This window comes from Homo sapiens, chromosome X, assembly GCF_000001405.40.
Source record: "Homo sapiens chromosome X, GRCh38.p14 Primary Assembly".
Taxonomy (NCBI): Eukaryota; Metazoa; Chordata; class Mammalia; order Primates; family Hominidae; genus Homo; species Homo sapiens.
In genome coordinates, this window is record NC_000023.11 from 8,571,966 (window position 1) to 8,591,960 (window position 19,995).

General features: G+C 38.1%; 1 protein-coding gene across 2 annotated transcripts in view; it reads right to left on the reverse strand.

Moving 5' to 3' along the window:
* The window catches only part of ANOS1 (anosmin 1), a 203,264-nt gene that overhangs the window by 43,092 nt on the left and 140,177 nt on the right, over window positions 1-19,995 (reverse strand). For both annotated transcript variants that reach the window (NM_000216.4, NM_001440775.1), the window contains exons 5-6: window positions 15,829-16,013; window positions 13,302-13,431 (exon numbers count right to left, since the gene is read on the reverse strand). In NM_000216.4, the coding sequence (NP_000207.2) occupies window positions 13,302-13,431; window positions 15,829-16,013 (315 nt within the window). The remainder of the gene's footprint in view (window positions 1-13,301; window positions 13,432-15,828; window positions 16,014-19,995) is intronic.

Sequence of the window (19,995 nt, forward strand, 5' to 3'; positions counted from 1 at the left end):
ATAACTTATTTTTTGAAATTTCTTGCTTTCCTCTATGATATATCATGTCTGGACATTTAGTTAGGTTAGTTCCTTTATTTTCTAAAATAAGAAAGCTTCATAGTATTTTTTAGGTAAGAGGCTAATTGAAAGCATATTATGTGATACTGCTAGTCAAGTCATTTTTTTTTTAAATTAACTTTTATTTTCAGTTCCAGGGTACATGTGCAGGCTTGTTACAGAGGTAAATATGTGCCATGGTGGTTTGCTGCACAAATCAACCCATCACCTAGGTATTAAGCCCAGCAACCATTTAGCTGTTCTTCCTGATGCTCTACCTCCCCACCTCCCCCAAGCAGGCCCTGGTGTGTGTTGCTCCCCTCCATGTGTCCATGTGTTCTCATCCTTCGGCTCCCACTTAGAACTGAGAGCATGCAGTCTTTCGTTTTCTGTTCCTGCATTAGTTTGCTGAGGATAATGGCTTCCAGCTCCATCCATGTCCCTGCAAAGGACATGATCTTGTTCCTTTTCATGGCTGCATAGTATTCCATGGTGGATATGTTCCACATTTTCTTTATCCAGTCTACTGTTGATGGGCATTTGGGTTCATTCCATGTCTTTGCTATTGTGAATAGTGCTGCAATGTACACAAGTGTGCATGCATCTTTATAATAGAATGATTTATATTCCTTTGGGTATATAACCAGTAATGAGATTGCTGGATCAAATGGTATTTCTGAGTCAAGTCATTCTCAATCAACATCAGGAATCTCTGGAATGTCCAAGACTTATACTGGGATATGCTGATTCCCTGAGTGCAGGTGGGACCCAGGATTATGTATATCTTATATGAAACACACAGGTAATATGAGGTAGATGACCTGCAGGTCAAAAGTACTGCATCAGGTGGCTCCTATGAGGTCTGAACATCACATATGTAAGGAGGAAATGTATTTTTCCTGTCGTTATTGGAATGGGAAGCACCCCAATATGGAGGTCTGGCAGAGCCATGTGAGGACTCCCCCAGTCATCAATATTCACAACACTGCTGATCACTTCCTTCTCTAAGAAATGCAGGCTTCATTTGGTGTTCAGGACACTACTCTACTGGATTTTTTTTTTTTTTTTTTTTTGAGACAGAGTCTCACCCTGTCACCCAGGCTGGAGTGCAATGGTGTGATCTTGGCTCGCTGCAACCTCTGCCCGCCTGCCTAGTTTAAGAGATTCTCCCACCTTGGCCTCCCAAGTAGCTGGCATTACAGGCACCTGCCATCATGCCTGGCTAATTTTTGTATTTTTGTAGAGATGGGGTTTCACCATGTTTGCCAGGCTGGTCTTGAACTCCTGACATCAGGTGATCCACTCGCCTTGGCCTCCCAAAGTGCTGGGATTACAGATGTGAGCCACCACGCCTGGTCTCTACTGGATTTTCATTCAGTTTCAACAGAAGCTATTTTTCAGCCCCATGCTCCATGATCCTTAACATCTCATAATCTCTAGACAGGAGAGTGTTCTGCATCTGAATTCAGGGGCCTCTCTCTTCTCATCTACACTCACTCTCTAGGGATCTCATCAGGTGTCACAGTTTTAAAAAAATCTTTGTGCTGATAACTTTCAAATTGATATCTTTAACATAGACTATGCTCCTGAATGCAGATCCAATCATTCAAATATCAATACTCAAAAAATACCTTCCAGTAGCTCCACTTGGAGGTCTCAGAGGCATTTCAAAACTAATGTGTCCCAAAGAAAAATCATGATCCCTATGCACAGCCCACCACCAACACATATCCTACCACACACAGCCCACCACTGACACCCCCATCTCAGTACATGGGAATTGCTCTTTCCAGTTGCTCTGGCCCCAACCCTTGAAGTCATACATTTATTTTCCACTCATATCTCTTGAGCAAATTGTGTTAGCACTACCTTCAAAGTGTAACAGGAATTTAACTGCCTTTTACCACTTCCAATGCCCTGGGCCAAGTGCCAAGGGCTCTCCACTGCCTCCCTAGAGGTTTTTCTGAATACAGCAGTCTGATGATTCTATACTGCCAGACCATGTCACTCCTGTGCACAGAATCTCCTTACTTAGGGTAAAAACCCAGGAGTCTCCTGAATGCCTTGCAACCCGTGCCTCAGTTACCTCCCAGAGCACCTTTCATTTTATCACCTCCACCCCTCAGCCCAGCCACACTGGTTCCCATGCTGTTTCTTGGAGAGGAAAACCGCGATGCTACTGAGGCTTTTCCTCTCCCTTTGCCTAAACGCTTTCCCTGATGTCTCCACGGCTGGCTCCTTTCCTGCTGCAGGTGGTGACCCTATTTAAAATAGCTACATATGCTTTGCTCCATTTACCAAAAAAAAAAAAAAAAAGTCACCATGATTATGCCTTGCTTTATTATTCTCCAAGCCCTTATTACTAACTGTTATGGTAAATATTGAGTGTCAACTTGATTGGATTGAAGGATGCAAAGTGTTGATCTTGGGTATGTCTGTGAGGGTGCTGCCATGGAGATTAACATTTGAGTCACTGGACTGGAAAAGGCAGACCCTCCCTCAATCTGGGTGGGCACCATTCCAATCAGCTGCCAGTGCAGCCAGAATAAAAGCAGGGAGAAGAATGTGGAAATTTTAGACTGGTTTAGTCTTCTGGCCTACATCTTCCTCCTGTGCTGGATGCTTCCTGCCCTCGAACATCAGACTCCAAGTTCTTCAGCTTTGGGACTCAGACCTTTGAACACAGACCGAAGGGCTGCACTGTCGGCTTCCCTACTTTGGAGTTTTGGGGACTTGGACTGGCTTCCTTGCTCCTTAGCTTGCAGATGGCCTATTGTGGGAACTCATCTTGGGATTGTGTGAGTCAATACTCCTTAGTAAACTCCCCTTTATATATACATCTATCCTATTAGTTCTGTCCCTCTAGAGAACCGTGACTAATACACAAACTGACTTATTAGGTACCTTGTTTGCTGTCTGCTTCTACTCACGATAATGAAAGCTCCCTGAGAGGAGGAATGTTTGCTTGTTTTTTCACATCTGTATCTCCAGAGTCCAGAAGAGCACCTAGCACACAGTATGTGCTCAGTAAGCAATTGCTGAATGAATAAATGAAGGACAGGCTTCTAAACGTTAGCTTTGATTTGTAATGTGATATTTCAGTTTCAGGTTCAAACTCTGTCAATCAGAATTGCTAGATCACAAGATCCTAAAGTGAATTGCAAAATCAAAGGAGTGTTCTTCCCAGTTTGAAATAAAATAATTAAAGCAACACCTCTTCCTCTGGTGTAGGAATCAATCCTTAACCTACAAAAGGTAGTTACCAACCTTTCTGGGAGGGAACCTAGTTTACAACTGAATCGTCACTTCAAGGCAAGAGAAGAATTAAAATGTGTGAAAATAACAGCCGTTCGTGTTCTCGGCAATGCACCTGAATGTCTATATGCTGAAAATAAGTAGTCACATGAATATTGCAGATATTCTAGGCTCAGAAGGAAAAGCTCAAAATAATCTCCTCTTCTAAAGAAACTCTAACATTTAAGAAGGTCACTGAATTTGATCATCTTCTTTAGTTTATGTTATTCATTACATCATTTCCTGCCCTGGAAAATTTTTCTTAGATGTTATCATAATAATCTAGAATAACATCATCTATTTTATGAAACATTATGAAACATGAAACAACACAATTTATGAAAACAACATTTGAGAAAACAATGCATTAAAAGATATGAATTAATAATATTTTCTTTACATTTTTCTCAAAAGGAAGGCCCATTTTGAATTTACAATACCAAAATGGCAAACTTCCATTACCAAGATAAGGTACTCCCATCTCTTTCTCCCCCAAAATAATCACCATAAAACTGTAAAACCAGGTCAGACATGGTGACCCACGTCTGTAATCTTAGTGCTTTGGGAAGCTGAGGCAGGAGGATTGTTTGAGGCCAGGAGCTCAAGACCAGCCTAGGCAATAGAGAAAGACCCTGTCTCTACAGAAAAAAAAATTTTAAATTAGCTGGGGCATGGTGTTGTGTGCCTGTTGTCCTAGCTACTCAGGAGGCTGAGGCAGGAGAACTGCTTTAGTCTGGGAGTTCAAGGCTACAGTGAGGTACGACTGCACCACTGCATTCCAGCCTGGATGACAGAGTGAGATTCTGGCTCTTAAAAAAACAAGAACAAAAAGAAAACAAAACCAAAAGAGAGTGGCAGCGATCACCTGTTTGTTGCCGTGATTCTCCTCTGTAAACCAGCCATTCATTTATCCATTTATTCACTATGGGGTTCAGGTGAGACAGGGTCAATCCAGTTTCTCTAATCTGAAGCATTTTACTCAGTCCTAACAAGTTTCTATATCTAAGTCATTCTCTGCCTTGAGAATTGGTTCCCTACGTTATGAAGCAAGGTGTATTCATTCGGCTGAATTATACAGAATGTTTTCTTTCATTATGCATGATATTTTAATTGTTTTAGAATTTTGAAATGTAGTTGGAGATTTCCATGTGAAATTTATATATATATATACACACACACACACACACACACATACACACACACACACACACACACACACATATATAGATGTACATATGCATAAATAGACAGTGGCTGATGAGAGCCAGAGAGTCAGAGAGGGAAACTCTATACGTTATTATAAAGCCCTAAGGAATTTTACAACTTATTTCACCTTTTTTTAACTGGGGAGGGTTTTAGGGGTCAGAGAGGTAAAGATATATGTCCAAGGTCATTCACATCATTGATGGCAGAACAAGGAGCGTGAGAACAAAAAGGAAAGGAGAAAAACGGGGTTGAAGGTCTAACAATACACACCTCTACATGCCACACTCTACATATATATTCCACCATCAAAATAAGGGACAATATCCCTACAGAATGTAAAAATTCAAAGCCTTTTAATGGGAAAAGTGTCTGTTACAATAGGCTAGTGCAGGCATTGATAGGCCTTTTCTGGAAAGGGCCAGATAGTAAAGATTTTAGGCTTTGCGGACCATATGGTCTCCGTTACAATCACTCAACTCTGCCCTCATAGCTCAAAAGCAGCCACAGACAATATGTAAACAAATGAGTGTGGCTATGTTCCAATAAAACTTTATTTGCAAAACCAGGTTGCAGGCCAAATTTGGACCCTGGGCCACAGACTGCTCTCCCCTAGTTGGGAGAATTTCAAAAAGTGTGAAACCATTAGGTTTAGGAAACTCGACATGAGCACTGTTTATCCCTAATTTTACAAACATACAGCTGCATTTTGTCTATTAAATGTTAACATTATTGTTCTTATTTTAGAGATGGGGAAATTGAGGATCACAGTTTGATTCACTACTTCAAGAGCAGAGTTTGATTTACTACCTCTTCAAGTGAGAGGATGGGAGGCACACCACAAGACCAGTGCTCTCCTAACCCTTCCTCTGAGTCTCAAATCTGGGCATTTTCCCCCAGCTCACTTCTCTTTCTGTTTGATGCCAACTCCCTCCTTATGATCTTCACAATTATCTGCAGAAACACACTGCAGAGAGCAAGCACATTTTCAGAGATAACTGAAATAGGAAGGCTGTATTAGCTCCTTCTACGCTATACAATTAGTGTGATTACCAACGTAAAATATGCTAAATATTTAGCATGTATACCCAATTTCAGCCTTGGGGAAAAATAGTTCCTTTTATTGATGATCACATGTGGTGCTTTCAGGAGAGAAAGATGGAACATTTGGATTTCAGAAAGATAAATTTCAGGTTTCATCACTTAACCTCTTGTGTTTCATGCCACAAACAGGCAAAGTAACAAGCACGAAGGTTTGACACAATGGAAAGACTTTGAGCCTATGTTGGGTAAAGTGACAATAAAATCACTTATCACCCTTGGAGAAATGCAGGCCTATTATTGCACTGACATGAATCTCATGGGAAAAGACCACTTCTGCTTGTCCCAGCAGAAATGCCATCACTTTTTCTGAGGCAGGCTCCTCTAGGTTTAAGACAACACTATTTGTTAAATACAGAAACCCATGAGGCCATAAAGAGAGCAACGATTATAGATCATCATAAAGAAACATGCACATGTGCACATGGAGAACAATACCTATTTCAAGAAAATGAATGTTGATTTTACTTATTTCATTTCTACCAATAATGTCTATAGATTAAACTTCGCACTGAAACGCATCATAAGAACACCTCATAAGGTATACTTATGGTATATACTTGATGTAACTTTGGTCAAGTGCAGTTATATTTTAAAAACAATAATATAACTGTGTCACAAAGTTTTCAACTAAATAGAAGTTTGCTTCTAATAATATTTAAACCTTTTTTTTTCTTTCCAGACTTGGCAGTTGGGGTAGTGTTCCTTCTCCCTTAAAAAAAAAAAAAAACTTAGCAAAGCTGCTGAAGCTACACTGCAGGCAAATTTCCAACTATTAAATAGTTTCAAGACATATGTACAGCCAAGCCTTTTGCCCATTGGAAATGGCACATCCCGAGCAGCTGTGGAACAGAGTAAAAAGTCATGGGTCCCCACGGGGCAACAGGGAACTTTATTACCATCAGTGATGTCTGCTCTAGTTTTACTGACACTCTGTAATGCATGCATGGAATAACATCCAGTGTGATACTTATATGCTGTGAAAACAATGCTGTCTGCTTCCTTTTCCTTTGTAATGTATCCTATGCACATGGAGAAATAAGGAGAAAAAGATGGATGAAGAACTTGGAATTTAGAGGGAAATGAATATAATTACTAAAAGATAATATGCTAGGTTAAGGATAATTTAAGTTGGATTTTTATGTTTCTTCATAAGATCCCTTAAAAGTGTGTTATTTTGTGATGTCAAATTGATATTGACTAATTTCAAATGAACAAACATGCTTGCCCGCTTTTGGCAACATATCAAAAAAAATGAATTTGGATTTTGCCTTATACAATCCACAAAATCAGAACTCTTCCTTCTTTTACTACCCATATTGACACATAGATGTAGTCACAGTAGCCAGAAACAAACACATTATTTCCCAAATTCAGCAAACTGGTAAATACTATTTTGTAATAGGTAGTAGCTACTTAGCAATATATATTTCCAATCCTAAGCATGCAATATTCTGTATTTTTGTATTTTGTAATTTTGTATTTACTTTATTTGTAAAAATACGAATGTTTATTTGTAAAATAACTATTTTTACTCATTTGATAAATATCAGCAATATCAAGGAAAGGTTAAACACCAACTTACTGAAAAAGATAAGCAACTGCAACATGGAACCCAAAGGTGTTTTTATATTTGTAACCCTGACTCCAAATTGGTCATTCCCAAAATCTGGGCTCTCTGTTGGTTAGACATTAGTGGTCTTCTCATTCCAAGAAGTGAACAATAATGTAAAGCTCGTCAGATTTTGGGAAATGAGAGAGGTGAAAATAAAAGAAACTAGAAAGGGATGCCTGTGTCTGATTATTAACTTTGTACCATAGAGGAAGAAGATTAGGAATATTTAGTAATGTGGGAATTCCTTTCATGATTTCATCACATTTTATTCATGAAACTATTAATATATTTATTTTAAACCGTAATTCAAAATGTATTAGATCCACTCTGTAACAGGAATCACGCTGATGTTGAGTTAAACAAGAGGTAAACAACAGATGTTTTCAGGGTCCCACCCTGACTTTCTTGTGCTAGGCTGTTTCAGGGCACACCAGCTCAACTTCTGAATGCCCTCCCACACCTCCTCACCTAAGGCTGTGTCTGGGCTCAGAGCAAGCTCCGCCAGCATGCAGACCAGATACGCTAGGAACAGCTGCAGACAAAGACTGACTTGAACACCCTTAACCCCCCTCCAGCGAGGAGTTCTGAGGTGTGTGTGCTTCACGCTAGCTCCCTGAGTGCCCCGTGGAGAGGAAGCTTAGGTTGCCTATGGTAAATAATTCACCCTTTACTGTATTCCTTCTACACCCTGTCCTACTTCCCTTCCTACCTACCACATTCTTGGATCACTTCCTAAGTAAACTGCTCACACTCAAAGCCTTCACTTGGATCAGGTTCTGAAGGTGTCTGATCTTTGATGGGCAATCTCTATTTGTTGAAATCTGTGTTTCAAAGCAGCAAATATCAACTTATGTAGCAATATGCAGACATATCAACATCTCGTGCTCAGAGGTTTCATGTTGTTTGTTCCAAATGGAATGGGATAGAAAACTTTAGGTAGACCCCCAGGAATGACCTGTGAAGGTAACTTACTATGTGCAAAGATGCAGTCCCACATTCTAAATAAAGAGACAAAAAGTAGAAATGAGCACTAGGCATTAATCTATTAAACTATTATGCATCTTTAATTTCAAAGCCAATTTCCCATCTCAAGTACCAGGAAGAAATACAGTATTTAAGTAGGCAAATATAAAAATTATCCAAAACTCTTAAAAAATTAATGATTTTGCCCATCCTATATTTATGCATTTTTTCTGGGAGGGGTAAGAGTTAGCAATAAAAATACTCAGAAATGGTATTCCCCAGGAAAAGGAAAAGCATGAAACTAATTTACTAATCTATGAATAACTTAGAATTTTCTATAAAAATAGTTAATGTTGAGTTAGGTCTAAGTTATGGGAAAATAAATGAGTTAAGAAGAAATTAAATAGTAGTCAATCCATTTTGCCAAACACGGACTAATTTTGTGTTTTAAAATAACTATAAAGAAGATAAGGACAAGAAGTTTGGCTTTTCCATGAAAATCAGTTTTATAGTCCATGAATCCTATGCAGTGAGCCTAAACTAACTGGAACTCATTTTACCTATTTTTGCTGTTTAATTTTACTTTTATTTGCTGAGATATTCATGGTAGATGAAAAAAATAAAAATAAAAACCCTTCCTGCTTTCCTTGACCCAGCCTTAAGTTATCAACACTGTCTCTCTACCCAAACCAAATACACTAGATAATTGCTTACTCCTTGCACAGACTACTACCTTGGAAGTGGTGACTGTTTTTTAAAAGTAATTTTAAACCACTGGAAGACTGGCACAGTTTCAATTCTGGAGCAAACAGGGATAAATGGGCATTTATTGAATGAAAATGCACCATTTTTTGAAACACCACGGTCATTGCAGTTATTATGAAAATGTTGTTCTATCTCTCACGTTGACAAATACACCTGATATGGTTTGGCTGTGTCCCCACCGAAATCTCAACTTGAATTGTATCTCCCAGAATTCCCACATGTTGTGGGAGGGACCCAGGGGGAGGTAATTGAATCATGGGGGCAGGTCTTTCTCGTGCTATTCTCGTGATAGTGAATAAGTCTCATGAGATCTGATGGGTTTATCAGGGGTTTCTGCTTTTGCTTCTTCCTCATTTTCTCTTGCTGCCACCATGTAAGAAGAGTCTTTTGCCTCCCACCATGATTCTGAGGCCTCCCCAGCCATGTGGAACTCTAAGTCCAATTAAGCCTTTTTTGTTCCCAGTTTTGGGTATGTCTTTATCAGCAGCATGAAAACAGACTAATACAACACCCAAAATTTACATTTCCATATGTCTCAATTTGAGGTGCATCCCAGATGTTAGTTCTTGCAGTCTTACAAACCAAAAATGTAAGCACTGAATTCATAGTAGATTCCATTATGTTTTCCGTAAAGATGCATCACAGAATTATGGGAGTTTAACAAATCAGTAAAACGGTGGAAGACACTCCCTCCAGGATATGTCTAAAGGAGACTTAACCAGTACACTAACAAGATGCTGCCACATCTTTCCCTACCTTTCTCAAGCTCATCAAATGTAGAAAAGAGCCTCACTGCGAAAAAATGTCTTTAACAACTTTTTTGAAATATGTAACTTCCATACCATAAAATTGTCTCATCTTAAGTGCTCACTGACATTCTTATATTTACTGTGTTGTGTAACTATCACCATCACTGGGTTCTAGAATGAGTCCATCAACCCAAAAAGATTGATCCTTCATCCCTTACTGAGAAAATTTAAAGGTAGAAACAACAACACAACATTTTCTGTCTTTACCTTCTCTTTTTATTACTCTTGTTTCATTTCCTCATATATTGAACAAGGATTTGTTGGGCAGCTACTATGTGTCAGGTACTGTTCTAGGCAGTGGGAATAAGAAGTAAAAAAGAAAACACATCTGGTCTTATGAAACACAGAAACAGACACACACATTCATCCTAATTGAGTGCAAGGAGAAACAGTGCACAAGATTAACAAGCAAAATACTAAGGCAGGGTAGACAGTCATAACAGAAAATAAGAACAAAAATACAACACGGGCAACGTGGATTTGTTTGCTTGTTTGCTTACACATATAAGTAGCATGGCTAAAGATGGTTTTGCTGGAATAGAGATATTTGTATAAAGAAGGTGAGCCAGCCAGCCTTTCAACAATCTGAAGGAAGAGCATATCCCCGGTCCAGGACCAGGTAAATGCCAATATCCTGAAGCAAGGGAAAGATTATAGTATTCAGAGAACACAGAGGAGCCTAGCATGTTGAGCAGGAAAACAGGGAGGGTAGTGATGAAGTCTAAGAGGAAGGAGAAAGGGGGGGTCAACTGGGTCTTAAAATCCATTGTAAAGAACATGGCTTCTACTCTGAATCAGATGGGGGAAGCTGCTGGGACACTTTGAGCAAAAAACTGTCGGGAAGTGGCTCAGATTTTAGAAGGATCACTCAGGTGGCTGCGTTGAGAGAGGACTAAAAAGGAGGGGATCCAGAAGTGGAAATCCGGAAGCAGGGATGAGAGGCCTGGGTCTGAAACCCAGGATCCGGAAGTGGGGATCCGAAAGCAGGAATGAGGGGCCAGGATCAGGAAACAGGAATCCAGAAGCCTTAAGGCAGAAGCCAGGAGGCAGAAGTGGGGATGTGATTAGGAAGCTAATACAATTCCCAGTTAAAGACAGAACTGAGCGGATTAGGGGAAACACAGGGAAAGGTGAATCAAGGCAGATCTGAGGATTTGCGGTGGCTTGCAGAAAATGTTTAGAGTGGAGAATGACTGCAGGCCTCTTTTGCCACAAACTGCTGCAAGAGCAGCATTGCCGATTACTCAAATGGAGGCTATTGAGAGAAAGAGTGCTTAAGGGAAAAGTCCTTAATTTCCTTGGGGATGCTCGTATTTCCAGAAAGAGAGTAATCATTTGTCGATCACTGTGACTGCTATGCTTTTGGCCTTTTTTTTTTTTTTTCCCAAATAGGCTTTTTTCTAAGGAATAGATCAAGTACCAAGCTACAGGATACTCCCACGCTATAGGACTGCAGTTCAGATACATGGGTAATAAAAGAGGCAAAAGACACAGAATTAACTTTATTTCTACCTTTAAATTTTCCTGGTAAGCCATGAAGGATCTTATCGGGGTGATGCACTCATTCTAAAACTAGATGATGGTGATGGTTGCACAAGTCAGTAAATACTAAAAATCACTCAACTGTACACTTAAAATAAGTGATTTTTATGGTATAGAAATTATATTTCAATAAAGTTCTTTAAAACATTTTTCCCAGTGAGGCTGTTTTCAACGTTTGGTGAGAATGAGAAAAGTGTGGAAGGATGTTGTCCCACCTTGTTAGTGATTAAATCTGCTTTAAAGATATCATAGAGGGAATGTCTACCACCCTTTGGCTGATATGTTAAACTCCCGTCATTCTAGGACTCATCTTCACTGAAAATATAATGGAATCTTCCATGAATTCTGTACAGACATTTTTGGTTTGTAAAATTGCAAGAACTAAAGTTTGGGATGCTCCTCACAATGAGACATATGCAATGTGAATTTTGGGTATATTTGTAACAGTGACAGAACAACATTTTAATGAAAACTGCAATAGTTGCATTTTCATTCAATAAAAGTCCACTTAAATTTGGGAGATGCAGCTTCCATTCTAGATTATAAGTTGCTCCGATATACTAGGAAGTGTCAGGACAGCTTGGCCTTCCTACTTTCAGTTAGCACCCTCATGACCCTGGGGCTGTCACAGGATTTCTGCCCAGATCCTGAGGATCTTGTGATAGTAAGGCTCTGTAACAAATCATGAGAGCAAAACCACCTTGGTCACCTCCACTAGGCAGGAGGTGCCACTGCAACTCTTACAGGAAATTAATTCAGCATCTGTCTCTAGAGGCTGAGAACCACTTCTGTCTGAGGTCTGATTTTGCAGTCTTATTCACAGAGCACCAGCCCAAATCCTGCAGGCAACTGAACAGATGGTAATATATTTTGACCAGAACATCTCTGGATCGCATTTGAACCATGAAACTCAAGGTGAAGCATTCTGAGGCTTTTTATTGATAACTACCTCCTAACCCACAATTAATTATTTATTTCACTTGCCTCTCTAAATTTTCAAATCACTTGGAGACAGAGTCTTAAGACAAGGTTTGATGTCTTTATTTACAATTTCACTTTAAAGTTTGCTTAGTTCATGAATTTGCCTCCCTGAGGAGAAAAAAAAAGTGTTTTGTTTGTTTGTTTGTTTGTTTTTAAAAAAAAGAGGCTTTTAAATGTAAGGTTACAGTATTTGTTAATGTCCCAATAAATAAATTTACTTAAAATAAAATAAATTTAAATTAGCTTCTGTGTAAGAAGATGACTTGTTATTAGTAAGAGACTAATGTAACTAATCTGTATTTATGAAACCAGATCCTTATAATTAGTCAAGCAGATGTCTAATTAATTTGGAAGGTACACAGCCATATGGATGCAACTAGAAAAATAAACTTGAAGATATTATTAATAGCTGGTCAAATTATGTCCTTCAACCGTCACAGATTAACCACAAATGTAACACACTGTTGATCTGATTACACAGAGGTTTTAAAATATCAAGGCAGTCAGAACTGAACAAAATTATAGCAATGATTAAATGACTCAGGAGGGGTTTAAATTCTAGATGTTATGAAGCAAACGTAGGAGTCAAATTCACTTTCAATTTAACAATCATTTCAAGAAAGGCTATTTTGTCTAGAATAGCTAAAATTCAGTCTTTCTCTTTGAAAATCAATTGAATGGTGTTTGATACAGAATATCTTAAAGCAAAAACTCAACAGATGTTGATAATGAAAACCCCCCCGCCACTTCAAAGTTTAAAAAAACTCCCTTATGTTATCTTCTATGATATACTGCAGGTAAAATTCCAATTTTGTCCTTAGCCATAAATGTACATGGTACCTTCAAACACATCTGGTCCCATTCTCTAAAACAGCAAAGCCACCTGTTGACTAACTATAAATATGAACATAGAGACAGTGAATCTGCATTCCATGTGTGCCTGGTAGCAAGGATAGTATTCTGTGTCTGGGAAGAAAAGGAAGACTGACCTTTGGAAGAACGGAAGTGTTTGCTGGGGGCAGTGAAGCCTCGAGTTCCATGCACATTCACAGCAGCCACTCGAAACTGGTACCATCGGCTGGGTCTTATGTCAGTCAGTTGAACTCGCTCGTCTGTGGTCTGAGGGGACATGTCACAGAGCACAGGGAACATGTCACTTTTTATTCCGACATGTTAGTTGGATCTGTTTAGAAAAATACACTAACCCATCAGCCAATGCAACTCAGTCTGTCTTCCCCCTGATAAGAGGGGCTTATCATGCCCAGTTATGAAGAGAGCTGTCAGGGAACAAAGAACCACTGATATTTCACCCCAAAGAATTAAACATCTCTTGAAGTCAAAACCTTATGACAAGAGCTTGGGCTATTTTTAAATCTGGTGACTAATTACAGCATTTGAGATATTCAATCAATAGAGAATATTTATGTATAGTAATTGTTACATTACAGCAAGAAGATGAAATCATCTTCAGATTATAGAAAGAAAATGTCTTTTTAACTCACATGCCAAATATAACTGTAAAATAGGTATAACAACCCACATGCAACCCACTAGCAATTTCTGGAAGTAAAGTATAACCCAAGCCACTGTTTAAAAATCTCTTGAGTAAGTCACATAACATCTATGAAGAACCAGTCCTGATCTAAAAGGGTGAGATGTGTTAGCATATATTTGCTCAATAAAATGCCCAAAAGGAAAAAAATAGACACTGGGGAAGATCAGAAGGTTTTGCTGTCTCTAGTGCTACAATTTTAAGATATCAAATAACTTTAACAGTCTTCATACTATATACCTGCTTTCAACAATGTTCTGTGTTTTGTTTCCATTGGTAGATCTGAAAACCTTTGCCTTGAATTCCAAGAAATAACCATCTACAGTCTATGCCCTCATCTACACCAGGTGCCGAACTCAACTTGGATCTGTGGATGAAACTAAGGAAACAGGATTGGATTTGAACACTCCCAAACTTCAGATTATAATAACCTCAGCTTAAAATAACTTAATGTGAAAATGACTGTCACGTTTACATCAATATCTAAAAGAAGCTGAACATTTCTGAGATCAAAGGAAGAATATGAACTCTTACATGTGGCTTTCTACCTGATTTGGCAGACTTTGAGAAAACACTTTCAACTTCATCATTTAGAGTTTCAGCTGCGAATTTAAAAAGCTTAAAGTCAGCATGGTATCCACAGCGTTTAGCAGAGAAGGAAGTACTACATGTAGCACTAACAGTAAAAAATAATACCAGCAACAATAATAAAAGAGCTTTTCACTTTCCAAAAATCTTTTGGAGATAAAAGAGATGGTCTTATTGCTGGTTACTTTCATAATTCTTTAAGTAATTTGGAAAAATTACAAATGAATCTGTACCACGATTTATGAAAGCATGCCGTGTAAATCAAATGGAATTTCAGGCTGTATTCTGATTAGCTTTATGTTTTACTGAAGCAAATTTTTTTTATATAAAATATAGGTATAGAATAGAATTACTAAATTTATTTGACCAGGTTTTTTTTTTTTCTAATTTAATGTTGTGTTTTTACATCAAACTTCTTATTTATTTTGGGGTCTTTACATTGTTTTATTTTAGTGCTTAACCCCTTTGAGATACTGCTATTTAGAAGATATTCTTCTTCCAAACACCTAAATATTGACATTTATTTTACATTTACTGAAAAAAAAAAAAATAGGAATCTAGTCCTTGGAAAAAATGATCTAATCAACATAAGGTGAGATTTTTTTTCCTATAGACATAGATGTGGAGAAGGCATTTTAGTTGTCTAAAGGCATGAAACAGTTTCACATTCAGAATCTGTTACTTTTTATATCCATGTAGGGTTTGTGTGTGTGTGTGGGGGGGTGGTTAGCAGCTGGTACTGGATTTAACAGCTCTTAAAAAGAAAGAAAATATTTTGCTTTTCTCATCAACAAGACAGAAGAGGAGGAAGCACTCTCTGGGAGTGTTGCCATGCAGGTGGTATATCAGTTTTTAAGTTGACTAAGACAAAGAAGAAAGTACTTAGTGAAGATTTATGGGCTGCTGGCTATGTCCCACTAAGTAATTTTGTGATACAAATCTTATGCCATGCTCCTAAAGTCTGTGGGTGGAATAAAGGTGTAAATGCAGGAGAAACAGAAGAGAAGGCATTTAGATTATTAAATGTCAAATTAGTCCTTATAATGTTGCATTTCCCTTCCTCTAGTTGGCTTTGAGTTTAGCTGAGGAAAATGTGGTTCTTGGAGAAAATACATGTGAATAATCAGGTTATAAAATTATCTCCCTTCCATGTGTATTTGAACAAATTAAGCCAATGGTCGAGTTTCCGAGCACATTCGTTTGTATCTATGAACCTCATCCTCTCTTTAGAAGACCCCATGATGTTCATTTCATATCTGAGTAATTTATTTCTGTAGTCAAGCTATTTTGAGGCATAGCAAGTTAATTTTTTGTGCGTAGCTATGTAGCAGACACTACCTCCAGGATGAAAATCAAAGTCTATATGAGGTTCTTACCTGGGCCACTGTCTGCCAGTGAGTGGCGTCATCTTCGCTAGGATGGATTCCATAATTCCATCTTCTTTGTACCACATAGATCACAGGCTCAATAGAAATATTGAATTTCGAGGACCACTTAACCTCCAGCTGTCCAGACTGCAGTTCTGTAAATCGTAACTCTTTTCTGGGCTTCAGGGGGACACCTGAAACAGGACCGTATCAATTAAAACAATCTGCGTGTGACTCAAATTGAAGTAAAAGTTGAGGAAGAACAAATATGGAAGAGATGAATCTGATCTGATGACAACTGAGATTTCCTTTCATAAAAGTGGCCTCTCCATACAGGGTTTCACATCTGAAGTCTTCTGACACTCAGTTCAGCTATTTGCTCCTTTTTCTTTTAACTTGTCTTTTTTTTCTTTTTTTTAATAAGACAGTCTAAATTGGTTCCTGATTCTGTAACAAGTGGCTTATTCCCTAGTAATCTCTAGAGCAATCATTTCATGTGCATTCTTTTCAATAAATCATGTTACAAGGTTGTTTCATTTGAGGTTAACATGGAATTCACACTAGGAGATCATTATAAAGAGTTTCAAGTCATTTTCCCATTTTTTATCATGCTCTGTGTCTATTGATATATCCTAAGGTCATTATAACATGGTTTCCAGATTTGATCTTCCTTCTTTCTCAGGGAGTTTTTCATTTAAGGAAAACACTGCAAAGCAAAATCTCTTCATGTGAAATCTCCTAAGAGTGATTTCCAAAGTTCAAGTCTTTTGGATTCCGCAATCAATTGCTCAAGCATTCCCCTATATATAGTCTTAATGGCTTAACATTGGAAAATAATGAATTTATAATGTTTGGTTTTGGCATGAGTGAGTGTGCTGCTTCAAAAGTTTCTCACAGGTGTTTCATTTTAAAGTAGTTAATCATTCTGATTTCTTTATCGCCTTCTGTACATGCAAGTTGTCTGGCAACTGATACATTGAAGAACCACAGTTCAAAATAGCAGGCATTTCAGAAAGGGAATTTGTAAAGAAATTTGTAATACTAATAGAATATGCAAAACTAACTGAATGAAATAGAATCTATGGCTCCATGATGGTGAATGCCATCAACACCAAGAACACCAATTACCATTAATAGCATTTTCTGTACACAATGGTCGTTTGCTGAAAGCATTGAAAACTCATTTCAAAAGCTAGTTAAGAATGCTCTATTTCTTCTTCCATTTTGTAAGTTTAAACACAGAAGAAACTGGAAAATGTGCAAACACCAAATGCAAATAAGGTTTGATGCATGTTGACATGGTTGAATTTCAACTCCTATTTCATTTTGATCTTAATTCATGGTAAGTCTTGTTTACGAAAATTTTAAAGTCATCAAATATTTGGATGGATGGAATTGAATAATTTTTTTAAAGCATATTTATATATGGTCAAAAGTCATTAATCTAAAAAAAGCTATTTTCTGGAGAAAATGTTTACCATACCTATTGCAGTCTCCTTTATTACTGATGGGTCATGGCTGAGTAGTGACCTTTAGTTTACAATAAATTTGTCTCATCTGATCCTCACTGTGAGTTTGTGAAGTGGGTAAAGGGTTAATTATCTACATGTTGAATAGGAGATAACTGAATCTAAGGAATATTAAATTAGTTGCCTGGGACTACAATCTGATCTCAGGTTTCTCTCTGAATTATCTGCTGCTTTCTACATTTCATATTAGAAAAGGCCACATAGAGAGATAGAGAAAAGAGATGGTTTTGATAGATATGCAAATCCCTTGGACATTCTTATTCTAAGATCCTCAGCTTTCCTGGTGGATCTGGAACTTCACCAAGTCAGTCTTTGACTCCTGTTCTGCCATGACATGCATTTATTTCAAGCTTGTATTGTAAACTTTTCATCTCAGTGCATAACCATAGCAATGGGGGTACCTAGACTTGGATGATTAGCATACTGCTGCTAAGCAAATGTTTTTCCAGTCTATCTCTAATCCCTGGCTAAGCTGCAGACCATCTTTTCCACCTGCCTGCTGAATTTCTCTGTCCCAGATATGCCCCTTCTCCTGGGATATCTATCTTTATGACAACTTTATTCTTTAGGATGTCTAAGGGATCTTAGAACCTTTTTGATATGTTCTTGCAGCTAACAACATTTAGTTGTCTTACTGCATAGTACATTTTCAAGAATTATCAAATCATTTTGTCTCCATGATGGCCACCTGACTTTACTCCCTTCCTTGTTCCCAACCTATTTCCCTGCATCTCAATCTCTTTTTCTACTGTCCCCTTATTGGTACTTTGGGGTTATTTTTCTAACGTAGAAGCGAGGTTCTCTCCTTCAGTTTCCCAAACTCTTTAATTGCATCCCATTCTCTATAGAATGAAGGGAAACTTCTTGGCATCCCCTTCAAGGCATCCTTCTTCATAATTGGCTACCATTTATTTGTCAATCTATCTCCTGGTACATCTTTAATTTTTTGTCACAGATATTATCTTTAAACCCAGCTTTCCTACAAATACACTGCCAGGTCCTTAATAATACCATGGCCTGTTTATGGTTTTTTTGTTTGTTTGTTTGTTTGTTTTCATTCTGAAATGTCTTGCCTTCTGCTTTCTAACTGTAGGCCCTTGAATATTTCCAGGCTCGGACCAAATGCCACCCCTCTGTGACACTTCCCCTAAACTTCTCAATTGGAAATAAAGGCTTTATTCTTTTGCCCCCCTTCAATGTTGAGCCTGTAACTGTCAAGACATGCATTTAACTGCCTCTTGCTGCAGCAAATTCATTTAATGATGCCTGTCTTTCCATTAAGCCACAGCCCCCAGAGGTCAAAAACCATGTCTCCTTCATTCCCGCACCTCACAATGTCCCAGAAGAGAACATTCTGCAATAGCAAATGTTCAATGAACAGTCAATGTTTGCTGAACTAATAGCCAAACCCACTTTCTTATTCTTCACTCAAGAATATGTCTGTGGAAATAAGAGACTAGTGCAACATTTATGCAAACCACTGCAACAATGGTAATCCCTACTCTGTTTGAAAGTCACCTAGGGAAGGGTGAAGATTTATCATAAGTATTCTGTACTGCCATCTTTATCATATATTGTTTCAAGCAACTCAGATCTCTTTTCCAGCATGGTCTTATTACTCACATGTACATTCACTCTGTTTTTTAAAAAGATAAATACCAGAAAATAAAGCAATGCCAAAATGTTTACAAGATAGAACGTTTTTATTACACTGACCATAGGACTTTCCCATTAAAAAGAAAAAAAAGACCAATTCCTGATCGGAGAGAAAACCCAAAGTTAATTGATTTTAATAGAAGCAGCTCTGTATGTTTTGTGTCAAGAAAAAAGCCACCAAAATTTGTTCAGAGTGATGAAAAACCAATCTCAACAAGGTGATCATTTAGTATCATTCTTGCATTGAAGGGTGGCCTGCATATGCCAGACAAATAGTTCTACCGAAGGGGATAAGGCGAGGGAGAGTAGCCGCAGAGAACATTTCATGATTTACTTGATTCCTTGGTGCATAGTAAAAAAAAATGATGACCAATTCTTCAAACTCATAGAGCACATTCTCCGAGACTTCTGAATCTACCTTTCTCTTTGGCTTTCCAATGTATAATCTTCTAGAGTAAATATAGCTACAGTAAATAGCCTCCGAAGTGACCTGAACTCACCAGAAGCCAATCCAAGCAGCCCAGTGCCCTCGCTGTAAGGTTTTAATCTTGAATAGCATTCAAGGACCAACAGCCTTAATCAAATGTAATGAGCATCAGGGCGATGTCAGTTCAAATTTCTTCATTTAAAAATCTCTTTAATTATGATGAAGCATGACCCTGCAATTTGCATGTTAAGAAATGGTCCATCTGCTTTCCATTAAAGTCAGTTGGCTCCTTTGATTGGAAGTAACTCCAGCGCTCTACTGTAATTGTGTGCAGATGGGGCTCAACCCCCCTCAAGACCTCCAGCCCTCACTGCCGGGGCGCACAGTCCTCACTGGCTGAACCAGCATCCCAACTGCATAACCAGATGTATAGACTGGATCTCTTCTCAATGTGTTTTTTATTATGTAAATGATTAGCATTTTTCTCTTTAAAATTACTTTTGAACAAATTAGTCATCTGAAATCTAAATGATTCTGTTGAAAAATTTACAAACGTTATCGTAT